Source organism: Homo sapiens, chromosome 4, assembly GCF_000001405.40.
Source record: "Homo sapiens chromosome 4, GRCh38.p14 Primary Assembly".
Classification (NCBI taxonomy): Eukaryota; Metazoa; Chordata; class Mammalia; order Primates; family Hominidae; genus Homo; species Homo sapiens.
The window spans coordinates 97,434,316-97,458,526 of NC_000004.12; the positions used below are offsets into that span (position 1 = coordinate 97,434,316).

A 24,211-nucleotide genomic window follows, 5' to 3' on the forward strand; every position below is an offset into this window, starting at 1 on the left:
TTGTGATTCCCCTGCCTCAGCCTCCCAAAGTGCTGGGATTACAGGCGTGAGCCACTGCAACTGGCCAGTGATGGATATATTAACTGGCTTAATTGTAGTAATCATTTCATAATGTATACATACATCAAAACATCACATTGTACTCCAAAAATATACACAATTTTATTTGTCAATTATTCCTCCAGAAAGCTGGAAATATAGAAGAGAAAAAAATAAACATATATAATATTCCTAGGGAATAAAACTGCTTCATCAAAATGAGTTGTGTAATTATCAAATAAGAGATGCATTTTCTAAAAAAAATTGAATGTCAAGTGATAGTGATAATTCAATTGAAAAAGATGAAAACAAACTAGCTGAAGCAAATAGGAGACTTACTGGAGGACATTACTGGAAAAGATCAATTGGTGGTAGAGGAAGGCTCCTGTCAGATATTTGTCTGTGTGTGTGTGTTTATTTGAGAGAGAGAAAGAGAGAAGGAGAGAGGGCCAGGCAGGCAGGCAGGAAGGAAGGAAGGGAGAAGGGAGGGAGGCTGAGAGAGAGAAAGGATGTGTTGAATAGCCAAAGCAATAGCTATAACAAACTTTTACTTATGGAGCAAAAATATAATGGAAAATATAATAGAAATCAAATATAAACTGTAAATATATTTGAAATATCTAAATGTATATAAATAACAAAATTAATATAAATGTGGGTTTTTTTTGTTTGTTTTGTTTTGTTTTTTTGAGATGGAGTCTCACTCTGTCGCCCAGGCTGGAGTGCAATGGCATGATCTCGGCTCACTGCAACCTCCACCTCCCAGGTTCAAGTGATTCTCCTGCCTCAGCCTCCCGAGTAGCTGGGAATACAGGCACGCGCCACCATGCCTGGCTAATTTTTGTATTTTTAGTAGATACAGGGTTTTACCATGTTGGCCAGGCTGGTCTGGAACTTCTGACCTCAGGTGATATGCCTGTCTCAGCCTCCCTAAGTACTGGGATTACAGGTGTGAACCACCCCATCTGGCCAATATAAATGTATTTTAAAATACAGTAAAAAATAAAGGTCCACTCCAAACAACAAATAAATGTTGGAACATAATTTAAAGGCTGATACAGTTTGGCTGTGTCCCCACCCATATCTCTTCTTGAATTGTAACTCCCACAATTCCTACATGTAGTGGGAGGGACCCAGTGGGAGGTGATTGAATTATGGGGGCAGGTCTTTCCTGTGCTGTTCTTGTGATAGTGAATGAGTCTCATGAGATCTGATGGTTTTAAAAACGGGATTTTCCCTGCACAGGCTCTCTTTTTGCCTGCTGCTATCCATGTAAGATGTGACTTGCTCCTCCTTGCCCTCAGCCATGACTGTGAGGCCTCCCCAGCCAAGTGGAACTGTGAGTCCAATTAAATCTCTTTCTTTTGTAAATTACCCACTCTTGGGTATATCTTTATCAGCAGTATGAAAATGGACTAATACAAAGACCTGCACCCATGAAATTTTCTAATCAATGGCTTCATTTTGGGAGGGCTGACAGCATTCACATATGTGACAGTAACCAACCTACTCAGCTGTTTAAAATGAAGGGCAGTTGGTATAATTGGAAACTAGCAAAATTCCACAAAATGATCAATTTTGTCAACAAATTAAATTTCATTTTCTGAATATTTCACTTTACAATTATGTTGCTAGCTTGTTTTTAGTTAACTGTCTCTTGAAGCTGAGAGGAGACACATTCAGACAGCTAATTTCAATCATGAAAATGACAGAAGATGTACGGCCTGTACACTTTGAATACTAAATCATTTTTCTAAGGAATAGATGCAAGGGCATTGCAACATATGTAATGCACTTTGAAACAGATATTTTCCAATCCAACACGTGGCTCTGAGGGAGAGGGCTCTAAGGGATGACTAACTTGTTTCTGTTCTCCCAGAATATAGTCCCTTGGTTTATCATGTCTGATTCCTTAAGGTACAGGCACCATCTGAGCTTTTATGTCCTACCTGTGTAGAGACCCATTTTGTTATGCATGTATGGGAGTGTCTAGAGCACATTAGTTAAGGTCATGCTACAACACATACATTTCTCAAATCTTAGTGGCTTAAGTTTATTTCTTATTCTTGTAAAATCCAGGGTGTTATCCAAATGGTCATTCATGACACAGCCTCCTTCCATTTTTAGGCTTCTGGGTGCTTCATTAGTGCACTCCCCTGAATTCCTCTGCATTAAGTTGGAAGACGGAAAAAAAGAGAATGGACTATTGGAAGCTGCTTACAGGCTAAAGTTGGAAGTGGCATATGTCATTTCTGCTCATATTTTATTGGCCATAACTCAATCATATTTTGCAAATAACTATTAGGTGAAAAGGCAAACTGGTTTGGTTAACAAAAGCAAGTCTGCTGAATGAGGAGACACCAAAACTTTTCATAGTCATACAACTTTACTATATAATCAAATTGCTATAACCTTCCCTTTGAAAACAAAGAACACACAAACTTCATTCATGTAACTACTTGCACGTTAAGTAACCCAACAGGTCATTTTATTATAGGTATAAAAGAGAAAGTGAGTACCTAGACATAATCGAAAAAACTGGGTGATACCATTTGGATATTTGTTCCCTCCAAATCTCATGATAAAATGTGACCCCCAGTGTTGGAGATGGGGTTAAGAGAGAGGTGTTGGGTTATGAGGGTTGATGCCTCGTGGATAGTTTAATGCTTTCCCCTCAGTAAAGAGTTCACAGGAGACCTGGTTATATTTGGCTCCCCATGTGTCCGGAATTGGTGGGTTCTTGGTCTCACTGACTTCAAGAATGAAGCCGCAGACACTTGTGGTGAGTGTCACAGTTCTTAAATGCGGCATGTCCAGAGTTTGTTTCTTCTGATGTTTGGGTGTGTTGGGAGTTTCTTCCTTCTGGTGGGTTCGTGTCCTCGCTGGCTCAGGAGTGAAGCTACACACCTTCGCGGTGAGTGTTATAGCTCTTAAGGCGGCGCATCTGGAGTTGTTCATTCCTCCCGGTGGGTTCGTGGTCTCGCTGGCTTCAGGGGTGAAGCTGCAGACCTTTGCGGTGAGTGTTACAGCTCATAAAGGCAGTGTGGACCCAAAGAGTGAGCAGCAGCAAGATTTATAGCAAAGAGCAAAAGAACAAAGCTTCCACAGTGTGGAAGGGGACCCGAGCGGCTTGCCACTGCTGGCTGCGGCAGCCTGCTTTTTTTCTCTTATCTGGCCCCACCCACATCCTGCTGATTGGTCCATTTTACAGAGAGCCAATTGGTCTGTTTTACAGAGAGCTGATTGATCCGTTTTGACAGGGAGCTGATTGGTGCATTTACAATCCCTGAGCTAGACGCAGAAGTTCTCCATGTCCCCACTAGATTAGCTAGATACAGAGTGTCGATTGGTGTATTTACAAACTCTGAGCTAGACACAGAGTGCTGATTGGTGCATTTACAAACCTCGAGCTAGATACAGAGTGCCGATTGGTGCATTCACAAACCCTGAGCTAGACACAGGGTGCTGATTGGTGCATTCACAATCCCTTAGGTCGACATAAAGGTTCTCCAAGTCCCCACCAGATCAGCTAGATACAGAGTGCTGATTGGTGTATTCACAAACCCTGAGCTAGACAGAGTGCTGATTGGTGCATTTACAATCCCTTAGCTAGACATAAAGATTTTCCATGTCCCCACCAGACTCAGAAGCCCAGCTGGCTTCACCCAGTGGATCCCGCACCGGGGCCACAGGTGGAGCTGCCTGCCAGTCCCGTGCTGTGCGCCCACACTCCTCAGCCCTTGGGCGGTTGATGGGACCAGGCACTGTGGAGCAGGGGGCAGCGCTCATCAGGGAGGCTCGGGCCATACAGGAGCCCACGGCGGGGGATTGGGGAGGCTCAGGCATGGTGGGCTGCAGGTCCTGAGCCCTGCCCCATGGGGAGGCAGCTAAGGCCTGGCAAGAAATTGAGCGTGGTGCTGGTGGGCCAGCACTGCTGGGGGACCTGGCACACCCTCCGCAGCTGCTGGCCTGGGTGCTAAGCCCATCACTGGCGGGGGCCGGTGGGGCCCACCAGCTGCTCTGAGTGCGGGGCCCGCTGATCCCATGCCCACCCGGAACTCATGCTGGCCCTCAAGCGCCATGCACAGCCCTGGTTCCCATCTGTGCCTCTCCCTGCACACCTGCCGCAAGCTGAGGGAGCTGGCTCCAGACTTGGCCAGCCCAGAAAGGGGTTCCCACAGTGCAGCGGCAGTCTGAAGGGCTCCTCAAGCGTGGCCAGAGTGGGCACCAAGGCTGAGGAGGTGCTGAGAGTGAGCAAGGGCTGCAAGGGCTGCCAGCACGCTGTCACCTCTCACCCCTTTGCCTTCTGCCATGATTGTAAGTTCCTGAGGACTCACCAGAAGGTGATGCTAGCACAACACTTCTTAAACAGCCTGCAGAACCATGAGCCAAATAAACCTCCTTTTCTTTATAAATTATCCAGTCCAGATAGTCCTTTATAATGATGCAAAACAGACTAACATACTGGGCATAAAAAATTTTAATGGATCAGTATAATACTATTTTAGTTGTGTTGAATTTTGAGCTGAAGAAGGCAGCTGTTCAGTATTTTTACAAACATTTTTGTCAAAGTTATGGAAATTAGCCATCCCTTTCAATCTTTCTAATTTGAAGCAATCACTGTGTTCTGCAGAATACATTCTCAGAGAATGGTTAAATCATTATCTCCCTTGGGATCTCTGGTTCCAAGCCTTTGAAAAAGGAGAAATCTTCCAGTTTTACAAAAGTTAATTGCCAGTGACTGGTCTACACTGACATGGTTAGGAATGCAAAATGGGGCATACCTGGGATCTCCTAACCATCCCAACTTAATCATTATTTTTATTACTTGTTTCCCTGTGAATTCTGTGTTACTAAAGCTGAACTGCTACATCATCAATTTTATTTTATAAATTGTTAAATTTCCCTATTATCAATAATGTCATTTTTAGTTCGATTAGCTGAGTTTTCTTTGCCTCAACATGTTCCAGCTTCAGAATTATTTGCTCTTTTTTCACAGAGGAAATGTCTTTTGAAAGCTTCACTGACGCCAAGCAGATTTCTTCCAACAATTTCTTGCTTCTTGTGGTAAGTTTGTTTCAGAGAAAAATGAATATTCTGAGACCCTCTATCCTATTCATATTTTTAATAATATATAATTTTTTCATAGTCTTTTGTATTGTTTGATTCTATTTATATTTTTACTCATCTTTCCAAAGAGATATATATGTGTGTGTATATATACATATATATAAAATGCCTTTTCTATTTTACTATTTTATTTTTTTTGCTTATCTCTTCTGTAGTTCTCTTAAAATTATTAATTTAATATTACAGAAAGGCTATCATTTTAAAAACAAGATCATTTACTCTTCCAAAAATATCAAAATAATTATGCTTCCCATGCAGTGTTCACATATTGAATTCTCAACTTTGTTTTTAGGTGACAAGAAGTTTATATTATTTTGTTATAATAGTAGAATGAAAATTTATGCATTTTTACTAGTTCTGGTTTAGAATATGTTAATACATAAGAAGATTATAGACATAAGAATTATTCTACTGAATAATTAAAACATTGTCTTAAAAGTTGACTGGCAATTCTCTCCCACATTCTGAATTTTCATCTTTCTATTCTTTATTCATGAACAAGTTTTGCATATTACATAATATATTATAGAGGAAAAGAATTAAAAATACGAAAGTAAAAATCATCCCATACGGTTTTATTTTTTTTCTTTTTTTAAAAAAAGAATACATGCAAGGGTGTTGCAACATATGTAATGCACTTCAAATACTCCTGGTTGTCTGAGTTTTCTGCAACCACAACTATATTTTGCATGGTTTATATGACGTATAAAAAGGTAATTTCCAAAAGAAATACTATAGGGATGATAGAAACCTTGGGGATCATGTAGCTAGAGCTTAACTACATCACATAAATACCTATAGAAAAACATAGGTTTCAGGACCTATTTCAGAATACAGGCACTACTAGGTGGAGAGTTGTTAGATGTTAGAAAATTGTGTTATTCTACCACCTCACTTGGTGATTGCGAAGTGTCCTCTATGTTTGACATCTACTGATCTAGTACATCAACTGCTTCATTTTGGAGCCATAGAACAAAGAACTAGGTGATTAACTAGTTAGTTTAGGGTTATGTAATTAGGAGATGAGCTCAAAGTCTCCTCTCCATCAACCACCAGTTCTGTGCTGTTTTCCCAATTCAATTCAATTCAAATCATCCAATTCAATGGAAGAGCAAGTATTTATTGGCCATTTTGGGGGGTTTTATTGCTCCAATCTTGAATGATTAATTTTAGGCACATTAATGGAGATATTTTAGATACACTTTTCTTAAATCAGAACACATTGAAAATTTCAGGAGTACTTGAATCTTTTAGAATTATGTTAGTTTTAGATTGCTTGCATAAATCCACTTTCATCATTGAAGTTTCCATAGCTTTTGTTAAAATTTCAAAGAGGGTATGCTCCTCTAGAAACATTAAATACTATTGATAAATCCTTATCTCCAACTAATTTGTTTTACAAGACCATGTTAGAAGTAGAGCATTAATGCCAAAAGTTTTGGGACATGATATTTGAATTTACCCATCTTCCTCAAATATGTAGGATATTGAAGATAATTCAGTATATTGCCACAATTTAATCATTTTTTCTTTTTTTTCCTATTTGCACATAAAAGTTATACAAAGTAAAACATATTGAATATTCCTTTTATGATTTTTATTTTCTACTTTTAGCATTTCAGAGAAATGAAGAGTAAGAAAAAAGTCAAGGGAATAACACATATGCATAATAACATCATTCACTTTGTTTCAGCATGCCTAGTATTTGGAAAGTAATTGCATTCTCTGGTTAGAGAATGAGACTCTAAAGTAAAAAAGAAAGGCTTTTCATCAGATGTCTTTATTCAGCATTATATTTTATATGGATGCATCAGTAGTACACGCTTAGAAAGAATGCAATGAATATATATACATACTGCTTTTGTAACAGGAAACATTTTCTGAAAAAAACAAATATTATATAAGAACGTATTTTTTATCTCTAGATGTTAGAAGAGCAATTATGTTCCTGTGAGCAGCTGATGGAGGACATTATCAACATGGAAGTACTTCTTTGTGAGAGAACTGTCAGCTTACGTTTATATTAATAGATATTACCTTTGGACTATATCTGTGGGAAAAGAAAAGCTATTTCAGTAAGTGGTATCTCTATTTTACTTCTCCACCTAAGTCAAAATATTCTTTCAGATGGCTTCTCTAGTTAAATTACTTCTAATAAAAAAGATATAAAATTTCACAAAATACTCTTTTTTTCTAACCAAATTAACTAAATCTCATTGATATCAAGTAGTTCATATTATGTCATAATTCTGGCTTCTGTATTTATTGTCCTTTTGACTCTGCTGAAGATTTGAGTACTTAAAGGCATATATAGAAGTATATATTCTGCAATTGTTTAGACATTACATCATGATAATAGTGAGTCTAATAAGATAAAATGTTACGACAGAGCAAAAAAGAAATAGAAATCAAATAACCTGTTAAAACTTTCACAATATAATTTAATACACTATTTTCTCCACTGACAAGTATTTTGAGAATAAAAATATTTTATAACAAATTTAGTTATAAAATAAACTTGTAACACATTAGAGGCTCTACTAGATATTATCTTAGCAGAAATACCTTTTTTTTCACTAAGCTTCAGGTACGTGAGACTACCTATATGAAAATATTTTATGTTGATGTCCATTATGACTAGGAAAAGTTGAAGAAAATGTGGCTTGACCCAAGGGCAAACCTGTGAACTGCACAGAATTTTTTCTGGCTATATCACTTTTACTACATGACATGTTTTTTTTTGTTTTTTTTTTATTCAGATGGTTACTCTTTCCCCATTTTCAATCATCCAATACTCTTCTATTATCTAGCTTGTTCTTTCTTCATGCAAACATAATTAGAGCTGATAACAGCTATTTGAACATGTTAACTCACTCATTTTCTTTAGAGTTGGTGTAGTAGCTCAGCCAAGCATTAAACTTATCTCTAATTGTAGAAAAAAATTGTTTTTAATTAAAGTTAATTAAAGTAGGGAGACTCCAAATGATATTATATTTACTGAAATGCAGAATAATTCTGAATGCAACTCTGGTAGCTTTTTGAGGGTCTTCAGTGGTAATAATACGAGAGTGTAGAAACAGAAAAGATAGAATTGGGTCTTTGTGTCCATCTGTAATGATAAAGTTAGACAGGGGGCTAGTCTGGCTTTGCCTGCTGAAGGCTTATTTAACAGAGGGCTTCGAATGGAAGTGAGCATGCCTGGAATACTAAAGCATTTCTAAGGGCTTATTTTTGTGTGACACCATGTAAAAATAGTTAAATAATGAAACATACAACCATAACATATTCTTAGTTTCTAATGTGACAATGGTAATTCTCAAAAAATAAATCTGCAAGTAAGTTTAATAAATATATTTCCTTAAAAGGGTGTGTGCTTTTTATAGAATTATGAGTAAATAGTTACATGGCAGGATACCTCATGTCTAGGAGATATTCTTTCTTAATTGTAACTATTCATTGAAGGTATAGGATTTCATAAATTGAGAGTTGAAAGGAAAGGAGCTTGACAAACTGGTAAAGAAATTCAGACATGGCAAAGAATAACTTGTTGCAGTCCATGCAACAAATAAAATCTATAGAATTTATTTCGGCTTAAACCTATTTAACTGAATGGAAAACTATACAGACAACCAAGTTTTGAAGGGCCAGAAATTTGGTGAGAATAGTGAGGCAGGTGTAATACTGAAGTGAGCCTTACATTTCCCTCGAGGAATCTTTTAGTTTCTAAATAGCACAAGGCCAAAAGACCAAGAAGACAGCCACAAGGCGGATAAAAACCTAAGCTGAGACTTTGGCCTTATCGGGATCTCTAAAGATAAAACTTGTAGTCTAATAAGGCAGGATGTCAAGAAACTAAATTACAAAGAAAAAGGAAGAAGAATAAGGGAATTCTGGCATCGTGTCATGTTCCTCCTTAAGACATTTGCTAAATTTTATCTGGTATAGGGTTATCAGGATATCAAATGGAATCAAGAGTAGCAGCTAAAGATATAGGCAGCAAAACGGGGTATTTGGCAGTTTCCCAGGATGGAAGAAGAAAAGATTGGAGAAGGGACTCTAGTTAATATCTCTGACTTCCTATTATTAGAATAAGAGAAGGTTATACTCTAAAAATATGGGTAATAAGAATTACATCAACTCTTAACAAAAATGTGAAACTCAGTTCTGGACAGGCACAATCCCACACTGGAAAAGTAGGTCTGCCCCATATTTAAGGTACCTGAGAAAAATCTAAAGGAAATCCTCCCTGAAGGAAGAAAATATGAGACAAAACATCAAATTATATCTATAATTTTTCATGAGCAATATTCTACATTTGATCAAACTTACTAGGCATGTCAGGAGATATAATCAAAAAACAGAAAACTAAAACATAAGCAGAACCAAAGGTGAATTAGAGTTGGAGATATCTATCACAGATTTTAAAATAATAAAGAATAAAATGCTTAACAAAATTGTTGGCAAGATCAAGAATCTCACTATGTAACTGGAATTTACAAATAATAACCCAAGGAAATTACAGAACTGAAAATGTTAACATTTAAATTAAGAATGCAATAGATGTGTTTAAACAGCTAAAGAGAGGATTTTTGAACTAAGGAGAGATTATTATAAAATATACAGACTGAAGTTCAAAAAGAAAAGAGAATCTATAATATACAAAAGAGCATACAAGACACATGAGACACAATTTAATATCTGTAATTGCATTTGTGTAAGAGAAGAGAGAAATGTTAAAGAAGCAATATTTGAAAAGATAATAGATGAGAAACTTTCAGAGCCAATAGAAAGACATCAATCCACACAATCCAGAGTATTAACAAACACCAAGGAGAATTGGGGCAGAAGGTAGGAAAATCTAAGAGGATTAGAGTAAAATTGACTTTTTTTAACGCATAAAAAAGTTGTAAAAGCAGTCAGATAAATAAAAGACATTACCTTCAAAGGAAAGACACTTCATTAGAAACTATAGAGGGCAGAAAACAATAGAATGACATTTTGTAAATGCTCAAAGAAAATATGCCAACCTGAACTTCTTTATTCAGCAAAAATATCCTTCAAAAAGGGAAAAGAAATAAAGATGTTTTCAGACAAACAACTGAGAAAACTCATCAACAGCAAACCTGTGCAAACATACATATTCAAAGGAGTTCATTAGACAGAAGACTAATAATCTAAGGAGAAGCACAGAAATGAAAGAAGGAAAGAAGAACAATGAAAGAGTTAAATATGTGGGTAAATCAAAATAAAAATAACTTAAGTAGGCTGGGTGCAGTGGCTCACACCTGTAATCCCAGCACTTTGGGAGGCCGAGGTGGGAGGATCATGAGGTCAGGAGATCGAGACCATCCTGGCTAACATCGTGAAACCCCGTCTCTACTAAAAATACAAAAATTAGCAAAATTAGCCAGGGATGGTAGCAGGCGCCTGTGGTCCCAGCTACTCAGGAGGCTGAGGCAAGAGAATGGCGTGAACCCAGGAGGCAGAGCTTGCAGTGAGTGGAGATCGTGCCACTGCACTCCAGCCTGGGTGACAGAGCAAGACTCCATCTCAAATAATAATAATAACTTAAGTAATGATGATAATAATCTATTGTGGAGTCAACAGATATAAAATTGAAAATGATAAAAATAATAAGTTGAGGCTGTGGTTTTAAATTAAATAAAATCATTTAAAAATCTTTGCCTTGTAAAGAATGTACTACATATTGATAACTAATAAAGATTATAAGTAAAGTCAATGGACTATTTCTCTCTGCCATAACAAGATATATAATAGAAGCAAAAGTATAATTTGTGAGACGAAATTAAAATTGACATTATTGTACACATTGTTTTTCTATACAATCTACTGATGAATTAACTATTCTAAATTATGAATGTTCTAGACCAGCACTGTCTAATAGAACTATAATTTGAGCCACAAAAGTAATTTTATTTTTCTAACGACCACATAAGAAGTAAAAATAAACAGACAAAAATAATCTTAATAGTATATTTTATTTTATCCAGTAAACCTTAAATATTATCATTTTGGCATGTAATAAATACACAATATTATTAATGAGATATTTTACACTTTTTTCTAAAACTGTCTTCAAAATCTGGTATTCATTTTAGACTTACAGCACATTGCAGTTTGCAATAGCCATATTCCAAGTGCCAAATAGTCACATGTGGCTAGTGGCTACCATCATGGACAGCAATAGTCTATGGCATGAATAAACTGATGGCATCTATATGAATTTGATCTACTACTCTAATAAGCAGGTTAATGATATATCAGATATTAAACTTTATATTTTATTACTTTAGCAAATAATTTTCTGTTTAGAATCTAGTTCCCTAGGAATTAATATAATCTCAGTAGTTTCCTCCTGAAATACAAAGCCAATTAATGGTGTGGATACTGAAAAGAAAAGGAATCTTTTTCTGGGAAATAATAACATCCAATTTTTCAAATCCAGTCTTATCTTACAAAAACCTTGAAGTCTAAGCCACTGTTACAGTCCTTATTATATATTCAGTGTGTAACCCATAGTTCAATATATATTAACTTTTCATATAAACATGCCAACTTTTAATTCAAAACTGCTTGATAATGCAATTTAACTAAAAAAGTCTACATGCTAAAATAAGATATAATCCTACAACAACTGACTAAAGCATAACATTACAGAAATTTATTTGTATTAAAAAGATAGGTTAATTAAAAAGCAACTCACCTGATTAAGGTAACTATTTTATCTTGTTATTAAAGGCAAATGAAAAACAGACTTTATAAAAATGTAAGGATCATGTACTGGCTATTCTTGACCAGATTAGAACTTATCTCTAGAGGAACACAGATTGTCTTCTATTATAATCTGTTAATTACACCTTGGAGCCATAAACACAACCAGTTTCTAGAAGAGCGATACAAATATATTGCTTTGAGGACAGAAAAATATATTCTGACCAACAGATTGTGTATGGCAGTTAACTTATGGATTATAAAAATGTAGTAACCATATAACTTAGGGAGGACAGGTATACTCACTGATATGGTTTGGCTCTGTGTTCTCACCCAAATCTCATCTCAAATTGCAATTCCCATGTATCAAGGGAGGGACCAGGTGGGAGGTGATTGGATGATGGGTACGGTTTCCCCTGTGCTGTTCTCATGACATTGACTAAGTTCTCATGAGATCTGATGGTTTTATAAGTGTTGGCAGTACCTCTTCCCTCTGTCTTTTCTGCCACATTGTGAAGAAGGTACTGGCTTCTCCTTCGCCTTCCACCATGATTGTAAGTTTCCCAAGGCCTCCCCAGCCATGCTGAACTGTGAATCAGTTAAACCTCTTTCCTTTATAAATTACCCAGTCTCAGGTATTTCTTCATAGCAGCATGAGACTGGGCAGGAAATTGGTACAAGAAGTGGGGTACTGCTATAAAGATAACATGAAAATGTGGAAGCAACTTTGGAACTGGGTAACAGGCAGAGGTTGGAGCAGTTTGGAGGGCTCAGAAGAAGATAGGAAGATGAGGAAAAGTTTGGAACTTCCTAGAGACTTGTTAAATGGTTTTGACCAAAATGCTGATAGTGATGTGGACAATGAAGTTTAGGCTGAAGTGGTCTCATATGGAGACGAGGAACTCATTGGGAACTGGAGTAAAGATTACTCTTGCTATGCTTTAGCAAAGTGACTGGCAGAATTTTGCTCCTGCCCTGGAAATCTGTGGAGCATTGAACTTGAGAGAGATGATCTGAAATTGGAACTTACATTTAAAAGGCACGTGGAGCATAAAAGTTTGAAAAATTTGCAGCCTTACCATGTAGTAGAAAAGAAAAATCTATTTTCTGGGGAGAAATTCAAGCCATCTGCAGAAATTTGCATAAGTAATAAGGAGCCAAATGTTAATTGCCAAGAAAATTGGCAAAATGTCTCCATGGCATGTCAGAGACCTTAGTGGCAGCCCCTCCTATCACAGGCCTAGAGGCCTAGGAGGGAAAAATGGTTCTGTGGGCTGGGACCAAGTCTTCCACTGCTCTGTGCAGCCTCAGTATATGGTGTCCTATGACCCAGATGCTTCAGCTCCAGCCTTGGCTAAAACGGGCAAGGTATGGTTCAAACTGTTGCTTCAGAGGGTGCAAGCTCCAAGATTTGGTGGTTTACATGTAGTGTTGGGCCTGAGGGTGCATACAAGTCAGGAATTGCAGTTTGGGAACCTCTGCCTAGATTTCAGAGGATGTATGGAAATGCCTGGATGTCCAGGCAGAAGTCTTTCGCAGGGTCAGAGCCCTTTTAGAGAATCTCTGCTAGAGCAGTGTGGAAGGGAAATGTAGGGTTGGAGCCCCCTCACAGAGTCCCCACTGGTGCATCTCCTAGTGGAGCTGTGAGAAGAAAGCCACCCTTATCCAGACCCAAGAATAGTAGGTCTACTGACAGCTTGCACCCTGCAGCTGGGAAAGCTGCAGGCACTCAACACCAGCCAGTGAAAGAACTGCCCAAGGCTGTGGGAGCCCCCTCCCCATTTCATCAGCATGCCCTGGATGTGAGACATGGAGTCAAAGGAGATTATTTTGGAACTTTAGGATTTAATCTCTGCCCTGTTGGCTTTCAGACTCACATGGGGCTTATAGCCCCTTGGTTTTGGCCAATTTCTCCCATTTGAAATGGGAGCATTTATCCAGTGCTTGTCCCCATATTGTATCTTGGAAGTAACTAACTTGCTTTTGATTTCACAAGCTCATAGGTGGAAGGGACTTACCTTGTCTCAAATGAGACTTTGGACTATGGGCTTTTGAGCTAATGCTGAAGTAAGTGTTTGGGGGACTGTTGGGAAGGCATGATTTGTTCTGAAATGTAAAAAGGACATAAGATTTGGGAGGGTCCAGGGACAGAATGATATGGTTTGGCTCTGTGTCCCCACCGAAATCTCATCTCAAATTGTAATCCCCACATGTCAAAGGAGGGACCTGATGGGAGGTAATTGGATCATGGGGGTGTTTTCCCCCATGCTGTTCTCATGATAGTGACTGAGTTCTCATGACATCTGATGATTTTATAAGTGTTTGGCAGTTCCTCTTCCCTCTCTCTTTTCTCCCACCTTGTGAAGAAGGTACTTGCTTCTCATATGCCTTCCACCATGATTGGAAGTTTCCTGAGACCTCCCCAGTCATGTGAAACTGAGTCAATTAAACCTCTTTCCTTTATAAATTACCCAGTCTTGTGTATTTCTTTATATCAGTGTGAGAACGAACTGATACACTCACCATTTAGTAGATTATATTTTGCCTCCTTGGTGTTTTTGTTTGGCTTTTTGTTCTAGAGTAGGAGTGATTTCTCTATCAATCAAGAAAGAATTTGGCAGAGTTACATTAAATGTTCTCTTCAGAACAGTATGCCTTAAAAATGGACTGAGCTGAGGATATTAAAAAAAGAATAGCATATTTTAATTGTATCATTTATAAACTTTGAAATATTATTTTACATTAATTAATAATGAACTCATTAACATAAACTAACTTACCAATGCCATTTATTGATATCTTACATGTTTGGATTCCTAGGGCTAACATATATAAATATAATTTAAACTATACAAAAGTAAAAAATAAAATAAAATATATAAAAGTTACAAGTCATGAACTTAATGCATATTAAATATTCTTCTAAAAGTCATATATATTTGGTAGAGGCAAAAACCTTTGATGAAATCTAAAATTTCTTTTAAAAAAAGCAATATGTACATTTTTGCATGTATTAATATCAAATAATTTTTGTTCCCAAAATAAATTTTGCTTCCAATGAAAGCAGATATTGACTTTCCAGATGTGCCTTCTCTCAGCATTTATCCTTTCAACAAATGTTTGTTAAATGCATATTATCTGCCTATTTTCCTACTATTAACAGGCAGTAACAAGATAAAGACAATTTCCATTCACCATTCAACATATCAATGAAAACATCAAGAAAGACAAAACTTCAAAGGAACTTTTAAAAGTAAAACAAACTCTGATTTCCATTGCTGTGAGGAATGTCCAACAAATTTTTTGCAAAAAGGAGCTGATTAAAGAACGAAATTAATGGAAGTCACTCAATCAGTATTCATTTGAGTGCCTCCTATGTGATATGTATTAGTCCTAACATAGCTATATCAATGATCCTCTTTTTTTAATCTTCCCCTCCACAAGAATGCCATATAATAGGATAGATTAAAAAGTTAGAAATTGAGATGCATAGTTAGTAAGTACAAGTTGAGAATACTGCATTCTTAGATTTATAGTTTTTCATTGACTGTCTTCATGTAATAGAATGAGAGTTACAGGTTTAAAGTCAGCTTCATGTATTTCCATGATCAGAGTGAGAGCACACAGCCAGGGCAATCCACATATCCTATTGTTTTGATTTTGCATAGATGTCTTCTTTTAACAGCATAAACAAACAGAAACACAATTCCAATGCAAACAATGTAGCCTAAAGGAAAGTAACATTAATTTGAAGATATATTGTAAAAAGTCACCAATACTTATTTATAATATGAACAAAAATTAGTTTCAGAAAAAATATAAAATTGGAACTGAATAAAGTTTGTGGGGTAATCCTTCAATCATTAAAAAGTCTAAAGAGAGCCTTTCGAATAACTATTGAACTAAAGAGAATTATACATATAAGTCCGATTGCTTAGAAAAATAATAAAAAATAAAAAATCAACATTCATAGAATTACCCCCAAGCTTCAGTCATAATCCAAAATATTTCATGATTTATAGAAGAAAAACTGGGAAACTTCCACTTATTCCCTCCTTCTTTTATTTATTCTGTGAGTGAACATCAGGTGCCTACTATATATCAGGCACTCTACAAAGATCTAATAATAAAATTGTCAGCCAAAAATACATAATCCCAGGTCTCACAAAATCTATTACCAATAATGAGATAATCATAAAATACATATAAAATCAAACATTGATAAGAACTCCCAAGAAGAGGTACATGGAGACAAAATAAGAAGAATGGACCAAGTAAAGGAGATCAGAGGGTTCATTAAGGATGTGACAATTGAAAGGAAATATGAAGTAAAGATAGGACTTAATCAGGCAACGGTGGGGAATAGGGTCAGGGGAGGCACTCCAGACTCAAAGATCAACACAGGCAAAGATCCTGTAGCATGTTTTAGTAACTGAAAGTAGGCTAATAAGCCTGGAATGGCACGGAGCAAGATAGGCCTCATGAGGGATAGTGCCACAGACCTAAGTAGGCCATGTTAAGGATTTTGGTGATGACAAAAGTAATGAGAGGCCATTAAAGTTTATTACAAAGTTTTTAAGATATTATTGCTTTTTGGAAAATCACATTATTGTATTTTACATTAATGTTTTTCTTGTATAAATATTAAATATCCTACATGCACTTATTTAACTACTAAAATAATTGTGTACTACTAATTTCAAAGGGAATTATTAATATTTATTTACATATATTTTTAAATAAGAATTACTAATCAAGATGTTTTTCAGGTTAGAATTACCTTCTGGAGGCAGGGAAGACACTATAGACCAATGTTCAGAGGGGGAAGTATGGGTTAAAAATGAAAATGTGCAGGTTATCTACAAATAGACTACTGAGAGATTATAGAATAAGAGAAAGACCCAGGGTCAAGACTTTACGAACTCTCAAATTCATAGCCAGATATGGGGTAGAAGCCTATAAAACAGATTAGAATGTCAGAGAGTGGTATGTTAGGAAAGCCAAGAGAAGTGAATGTATCTGTCTGGTTTTAAGATTTCAGTACTACTGAAAAGTGGTGAAGTGGACAGAAATATGCCCATTATATTAAGAGAAATGGATATTAATTAATTTAGTTGAGGTAAATTAAAGTGCATATAATCCAGACTGCAGAATATTGAGAAAGGAAGGGAAAAGGAGGGGAGAAGAGAGGAGAGGAGAGGAGAGGAAAGGAGAGGAGGTAGAACAGCAATGAACTTCTTTTTAAGAAGTTTAGTTTCAAAAATAGGAAATAGAGATCTTTTTTATAATTTTATTTTTCTTTTGTTAACAGAAAAGATTCAAAACTATTTAAAGACAACAGGGATCACCTTGTACTTGAGAAAGAGAGATAAATAACATAGTGAAATGTGCCAGAAAATACAGAAGGAAATAAGATCTAAAGTATATTTGGAGGTATCAGAATTAGTGAAAAGGAGTGATCTATTCCAAGAGTTGCAAAGGATTATAAGACAAATCCAGATGTATATAAATTATGAATAAAATATAGTGGAATTGAGAGACTCTCCATCTGATATCTTATTGTTTTTCTCTATTACTGCCATCAATAATTCTTCCTACTCAAATTCCCATAGAAATTACTAATAAAATATGCAATTAGAGAAAATCATGTGTTAATGTTGAAGAACAGAAATAGTGATGGCAGCAGCTGCTCCAGACAGCCTGTGGCTGCCATCAGGTATGCTGCACCAGGGAGGTGCAGCCAGGACTGCACACTCCATGGAGCCTGCAGGATCTGGGGACAAGCAGGAGTTCTACCCCTGCTAAGTTGAGGCAGGAGCTCCCTGGGTGCCATTGCAGCTACCCAAACTGCAGCTGCAGAGCCAGTCCTCCTGCTCCATAGAGCAGGCAGGAGCCCCGCCCCCACCCCCCCCCCCCCCCGCCCCCAGCACAGCTGCAGCTGTAGCTATCCAAACCCTGGCTGCAGACTCAGGCATCCCTACACACCTGGGGGCCCAGGAAGGCCCTCATGCCCTCACAGGCTCAGAAACGCCTGCTCCTGCTTCCTGGCTTCTCCCGGCTCTCCACACCTTCTCCAATTTTGGAGCAAAGTCAGGTGGAGCCTGGGCACCATAAAGGACAGGTGGAGACAGACAGATTCCTGGGTGGAATGGGGCAGGTCTCCAGAGAGGCCCCACCTTTTTTAGGCCAGGAACGGCCTGAAGGCTGGGCCAGGCTGCCAGTCCTACAAACTAGAGTGGGAACTTGTGGTGCCTCTTCTGGGCTTGCCCATGGCTGCCCATGGACCAGTTGGCATGTACTTCCTCCCCTCTGAGGCCCATAAAAGCCCCAGGCTCAGCCAGAGCTGAGCAGATAACTGGACAACCAACTACAAAGAGGAGCAACCCTTATTGTTGACAGCAGGAGACGTCAAGATGACCAACAGCAGAGAGGAGCTACCCACTCTAGGACCGCCTATCTGCTGAGAGCTTCAGAGACCTGCAGAGACATCAGGACTACCAGCTGCAGAGAGGAGCAACCCACTCCAGGGTCTCCTCTCTGCTGAGAGTTGGGAAAACAATGGGATGACCTGCCTGCAGAGAGGAACTTCCCACTCCAGGGTCTTCTCTCTGCTAGGAGCTGAACACTCATCAGAACGCCCTGACTGTGGAAAGGAGCTATCCCCTGTGGGTCTCCTGCAAGCGTTCTATTGCTCAATATAACTTCTCTTCATCTTATTCATCTTCCACTTGTCTGTGTACCTCATTCTTCCTGGTCACAGGGCAAGAACTCAGAACCCACCGAATGGTGGAGTTAAAAGAGCTAGAACACAAACAGGGTTGAAACATGAACTTGTTTACCACCTTGTGGGCAAAGAAAAGGAGAGAAGAGCTGTGGCCCTTCAGGGATCCCAGACTTGGGAGCTCCCTGAGCCAGGGCTGTGACTCCCTCTTTGGGGTCCTGCAGTGCCTGGCATCTCCAAGCTTCCGGGTGCCACTGCATGTTCTGGAGCCAGCAGGGGAAGCTGCTTGTGGTGCACCTGGTCCAGCTGCAGCCTCGCAGAGAGCTGACATCCATGTCGGCACTGGAGCTGCCCACCCTGCTACAGCAGCCAGTATGTCTGACTGTGCAGTATCTGGACCCCACACTTGCTCACACACCCTTTGCTGCTCCACGCCTGACTCTTCCTTGGCAGGCATGGGATCCAGGCCAGTAGAGTGAGCTGGGCACAGCCTGCCAGGCTGAGTGGGCAGAACCAGCCCAGCGGGCCTGAGCAAAACTCGGGCAAAGGCACCACCGGCCAGAGGTTTCAGGTCAGAAAAGCAAGACCTCAAAGATCCTGTGACAATGGGATACTGATCTGCTGAAATTTTCAAAGAATTACTCCTTGACATAACAGGGACAGCAATAGACTGAAAGGAGGGTAAGAGAGTCAATTCAGGCCTCCTGTTTCCCATCCCCAAATGACTTCCAAGAAAAAATATTGACTTCAGGAAGTTGAAAGTTTGCCATTCTCTAAAAATGAGGAATTAGTGTGGTATCATTGAAAACAATATACTGGAGTCCGACTAGTATTGAGAGGTCCCAGGTTTCAGTCCTGGCACCACGCTCAGCACAAACTTAGAAGTATGCATAGTCAACTTTGTTTCAGACATAGAAATCAGACCAAAAGGAGACACTAGGATGTCTGAATTTGGGCACTAGAGAAGTAGAAGAGAGGTGGAGGTATAAGGCTTTATGTAGAGCAGAGGAAAGAAATGAAACTCTTCCTAAGTTATTCCTTGCAGCCATTCTCCCTATACTCTTCCCCAAAGGCTCCTAGATCTGAAGGAGACTAAAACTCAAGATTGTTCTTAGAAAGATTTATAAAACTGAGATAGTACCACACATTATAAAACAATATAAATATATAATATTTAAAACAACATGGCTTAAGCTTAAAAACAGGTGGTAAATTTAATGAAAAAGAAGCTTGCCAGGCTTAAAAATAGGCATTTAGTGTATAAGCTGGCATTTCAATCAACAGAAAAGGGATTCGCCGGGCACGGTGGCTAACGCCTGTAATCCCAGCACTTTGGGAGGCCGAGGCGGGTGGATCATGAGGTCAGGAGATCGAGACCATCCTGGCTAACAAGGTGAAACCCCGTCTCTACTAAAAATACAAAAAATTAGCCGGGCGCGGTGGCGGGCGCCTGTAGTCCCAGCTACTCGGGAGGCTGAGGCAGGAGAATGGCGTGAACCCGGGAAGCAGAGCTTGCAGTGAGCCGAGATTGCGCCACTGCAGTCCGCAGTCCGGCCTGGGCGACAGAGCGAGACTCCGTCTCAAAAAAAAAAAAAAAAAAAAAAAAAAAAAAAAAAAAAAGAAAAGGGATTCAAAAGTTGCCACTACTGGAATAATCAGTTTTGTATTTGTAAAAATAAATATATAGCATATCTTCATGTTATGTGCCCATGCAAAGTTAAATGTTTAAATGTTAAAAAAAAATCTGGAATATTAGAATAACTAAAAGAAAATACAAATGAATATCATGCCTAGAATTTTGTTTTAGGAATATATCATGACTATGTACAAAGAAGTATCTGAGATGATATTTATGTTGTTGTTTTATATAATAAGAAAGCCAGTAAAGTCTTTCAAACTGTCTAGAAAGAATTCCTGACAATGTTTTAGAAATTATTCCTAATATAGAAAAAATAGAATGCTGCAACAAACATTATATAAAGCTGGTATATTTGGTTCTAAAACATGCCTACTGTTTACTAGCAAAAATATTCCTACTACAGCACTTCAAGTCTTATTATACAGCTACAGTTATCAAGACAGTATGTTATTGGTGAAAAAAAGAAACAAACAGATTGATAGAAAAAAAAATCTAGACACAGATCTTATAACCTTCACAAAAAATAGCTCAAAAGAGATCACAGACCTCAGTGTAAAATGCAAAACTAGAAAACTCCTAGGAGATAACACAAAAGAAAATCTAGATGACGTGTTTGGCAATGACATTGATACAGGAGTGGGGCAGGGAAGTGCTGGGAAGAGAATGGCAGGGCCTATGGTTAGGGTTCCACTCCCAGCCCTGTGTCCACAGACCTAGGTAAAGACAGGCATTTGTTTTTGTGTCCAAATGTTGCATTTCCCGAGACCACCCTGGCCCACCATGCCTCCAACCTGTGCCTATAAAAACCCCGAGACCCTAGTGGGAGGAGACACAAGCGGCTGGATGTCAAGAGGAACACAACAGTGGAAGAACACACCAGCAGACACCAGCAGATGTTGGCAGGCCATCAACCAATGGAAGAACATGGAGTTTTGCCAGGGTGGTCAGAGGAGAGCCTGGCTGCTGAGCGGCCTGACTCCAGGGGAAAAACCACCTTCCCACTACATCCCCTTCTGGCTCTCCCATCTGCTGAGAACTACTTCCACGGAATAAAACCTTACGTTCATTCTCCAAGCTCACATGTGATATAATTCTTCCAGTACACCAAGGCAAGAAGCCCAGGATACAGAAAGCCCTCTGTCCTTGCAATGAGGCAGAGGGTCTAATTGAGCTTATAAACACAAGCCACTTATGGATGGTTAAACTGAAAGAGCACGCTGTAACACATGCCCAACTGAGGCTTCAGGAGCTTTAAGCATTCACCCCTAGACACTGCCATGCAGTTGGAGCCCCACAACCTGCCCATCTACATTCTCCTCCCAGAGGTTTGAGCAGTGGGGCACTGAAGAAGTGAGCCACTCCTGCTGTTGCACACCCCGCGAGGGGAACAAGGGAATGTTTCCCGTGTCAATATTTTACATACAACAATATCAAAGGCATAGTCCATGAAAAAACAAACTGAATTTCACTAAAATTAAAAACTTTTGTTCTGCAAAAGACACTGTCAAGAAAATAAGAAGACTAGCTACAGACTCCAAGAAAACATTTGTAAAAGACATATTTGATTATATTAGTCTGTTCTCACATTGCCATAAAGAACTACCCGAAACGGGGTAATTTATGAAGAGCTTTAATTGGCACAGAGTTCCACAGCTGTACAGGAAGCATGGCTGGGAGGCCTCAGGAAACTTACAATCATGGCGGAAAGCAAAGGGGAAGCAAGCACATTTTCACATGGCCAGCAGGAAGGGGAGAGAGAGAGAGAGCCAAGGGGGAAAGTGCCATGCACTTTTGAAAAACCAGATCTTGGGAGAATTCACTCACTATCATGAGAACAGCAAGGAGGAAACCTCTCCCCATGATCCAGTTACCTCCCACCAAGCACCAAGCACCAAACCCCTCCTCCAATGCAGAAGATCATAATTCATCATGAGATTTGGGTAGGAACACAGAGCCAAACCATATTACTGACAAAGGAATGTTATACAAAATATACAAAGAAGTCTTAAAACTCAACAATAAGAAAATAAAAGATGGGGCCGGGAGCGGTGGCTTATGCCTGTAATCCCAGCACTTTGGGAGGCTGAGGCGGGTGGATCACGGGGTCAGGAGATCAGGACCATCCTGGCTAACATGGTGAAACCCCATCTCTACTAAAAAATACAAAAAATTAGCCAGGTGTGGTGGCAGGCGCCTGTAGTCCGAGCTACTCAGGAGGCTGAGGCAGGAGAATGGCGTGAATCCAGGAGTTGGAGCTAGAGTGAGCTGAGATCGCGCCACCGCACTCCAGCCTGGGTAACAGAGTGCTCCGTCTCAAAAAAAAAAAAAAGAAAATTAAAAAAAAAAAAAAGATGGGTAAAATACCTGAATAGATAGATACCTTGCCAAAGAAGATTATATAATGGCAAATAAGCATATTAAAAGATGTTCCACATCATATGTCATTAGAGAATTGCAAATGAAAACAATAGTGAGATACCACTACCTACTGATCCGAATGATCAAAAAGCAAAACATTGATAATACCAAATAGTGGTGAGGATGTAAAGCAAAAGTACTCTTATTCCTTGCTGGTGGGAATACAAAATGACACAGCCACTTTGGAAAGTATTTTGGCAGTATTTTAACGAAACTAAACATATTCTTCCCATATGACCCAGTGATCATACTCTTTGTTATTTAACCAGATGAAATGAACACTTATGTCTATTCAAAAACCTGCACATGAATGCTTACAGGTATCTTGTTCATAATTGCCAAAACTTAATTAGGAGGCCATTAGGCTGACGCAACTCCAGTGCCTATGTAATCAAACCAAACCCAACTCAGTGTAAACAGTGAAACAAGACTGAAGCTTAACTAGGCATAGGCCACCAATTAACATTTAACTAGGAACATTCCCCTTTAGCCAAGCAAATATTTTCATTGTCATGCTTCCATGAACACCTTATATAAGTTTTCACCTCACACCCCCTAGGTGGAGTTCTGAACCACTTCTGGTGTTGTGCTGCCCAATTCCCAAATCACTGTTTGCTCAAAACAAACAAAAAACAAACAACAAAAAAAACCTCTAACATTTTAATGTGCCTAAGTTTGTCTTTTAACAGTTTGCAACAAAAAATAAAGGGTTAAAATCACCATTGCTGCAAATAATACGTGAAAGTAGAATAAGTATATGAAGAGACAGCTTGGGTTTGGAAAAGACTAAAAATCTGGAACTTAAGCATGAAATTTTAAACTGCAGAGCATTTGAGGAATGGGGTGATGTTAAAAGAAACCTAGAGGAAAATTTAATGGCTTAAATAACCATGATGAAGAGGTGGCAGTGATGAAAGAACTAAACTTTAACACTCATTGCACTGTTAGGTGAAAAAAATAAAGTGATATGGATGACAGCACATAATCAGAGGTTCATAACTATGCAAAAACATTTTCCAATTAACAACGTACTTTCTCTTAAATCATGTGCAAGTGGGAGAAGTAAAAAGACTAGCGTTCTTACTAGAGAGATGAAAACAGATATTTGGTATTCAAAGCATTTTTCACCTGAAAATAGGAATGAATACGAGATGGCTCCTAAGTGTATTTGATCTTCATTGAAACCATGTTCAAATTGTAGCTTTCAGAATACAAAAGTATCTGAAAGTACTTGTCTGCAGCAAAGAGTAGCCTAATGTCCACTTAGAATTTTTATATTCTGTGTTCTATGGATGCAAAATTGGTTTAAAATTAATATGAACTGAAGAACAATTCATTTGTCATTTCGTTGAAATTATGATGAATGAGTTTGAAATATGAATTATAATTGAGGTAAAATCAATACAATGTTAAAGAGCTATGCTTTCTTTCTCAAACTCATAATGAAATGAAAGGCAAAATGAATATATTCTAATTTTCCATGGTTTATAATTCTCACTGAAATTATAAATATATAGTATATATTCATTATG

General features: G+C 38.5%; 1 protein-coding gene and 1 long non-coding RNA gene across 5 annotated transcripts in view; one reads left to right on the plus strand and one right to left on the minus strand.

The window, feature by feature from the left end:
- The window catches only part of STPG2-AS1 (STPG2 antisense RNA 1), a 123,239-nt gene that overhangs the window by 67,390 nt on the left and 31,638 nt on the right, over positions 1-24,211 (plus strand). The window contains exons 2-3 of the long non-coding RNA NR_102713.1: positions 5,039-5,106; positions 7,095-7,244. This is a non-coding gene — a long non-coding RNA (STPG2 antisense RNA 1). The remainder of the gene's footprint in view (positions 1-5,038; positions 5,107-7,094; positions 7,245-24,211) is intronic.
- The window catches only part of STPG2 (sperm tail PG-rich repeat containing 2), a 702,228-nt gene continuing 684,950 nt past the window's right edge, over positions 6,934-24,211 (minus strand). For all 4 annotated transcript variants that reach the window (XM_047450118.1, XM_017008049.3, XM_011531886.4 and 1 more), the window contains 2 exons: positions 14,425-14,573; positions 6,934-7,219 (listed from right to left, as the gene is read on the minus strand). In XM_047450118.1, the coding sequence (XP_047306074.1) occupies positions 14,436-14,573 (138 nt within the window). In that variant the 3' untranslated portion in view covers positions 6,934-7,219; positions 14,425-14,435. The remainder of the gene's footprint in view (positions 7,220-14,424; positions 14,574-24,211) is intronic.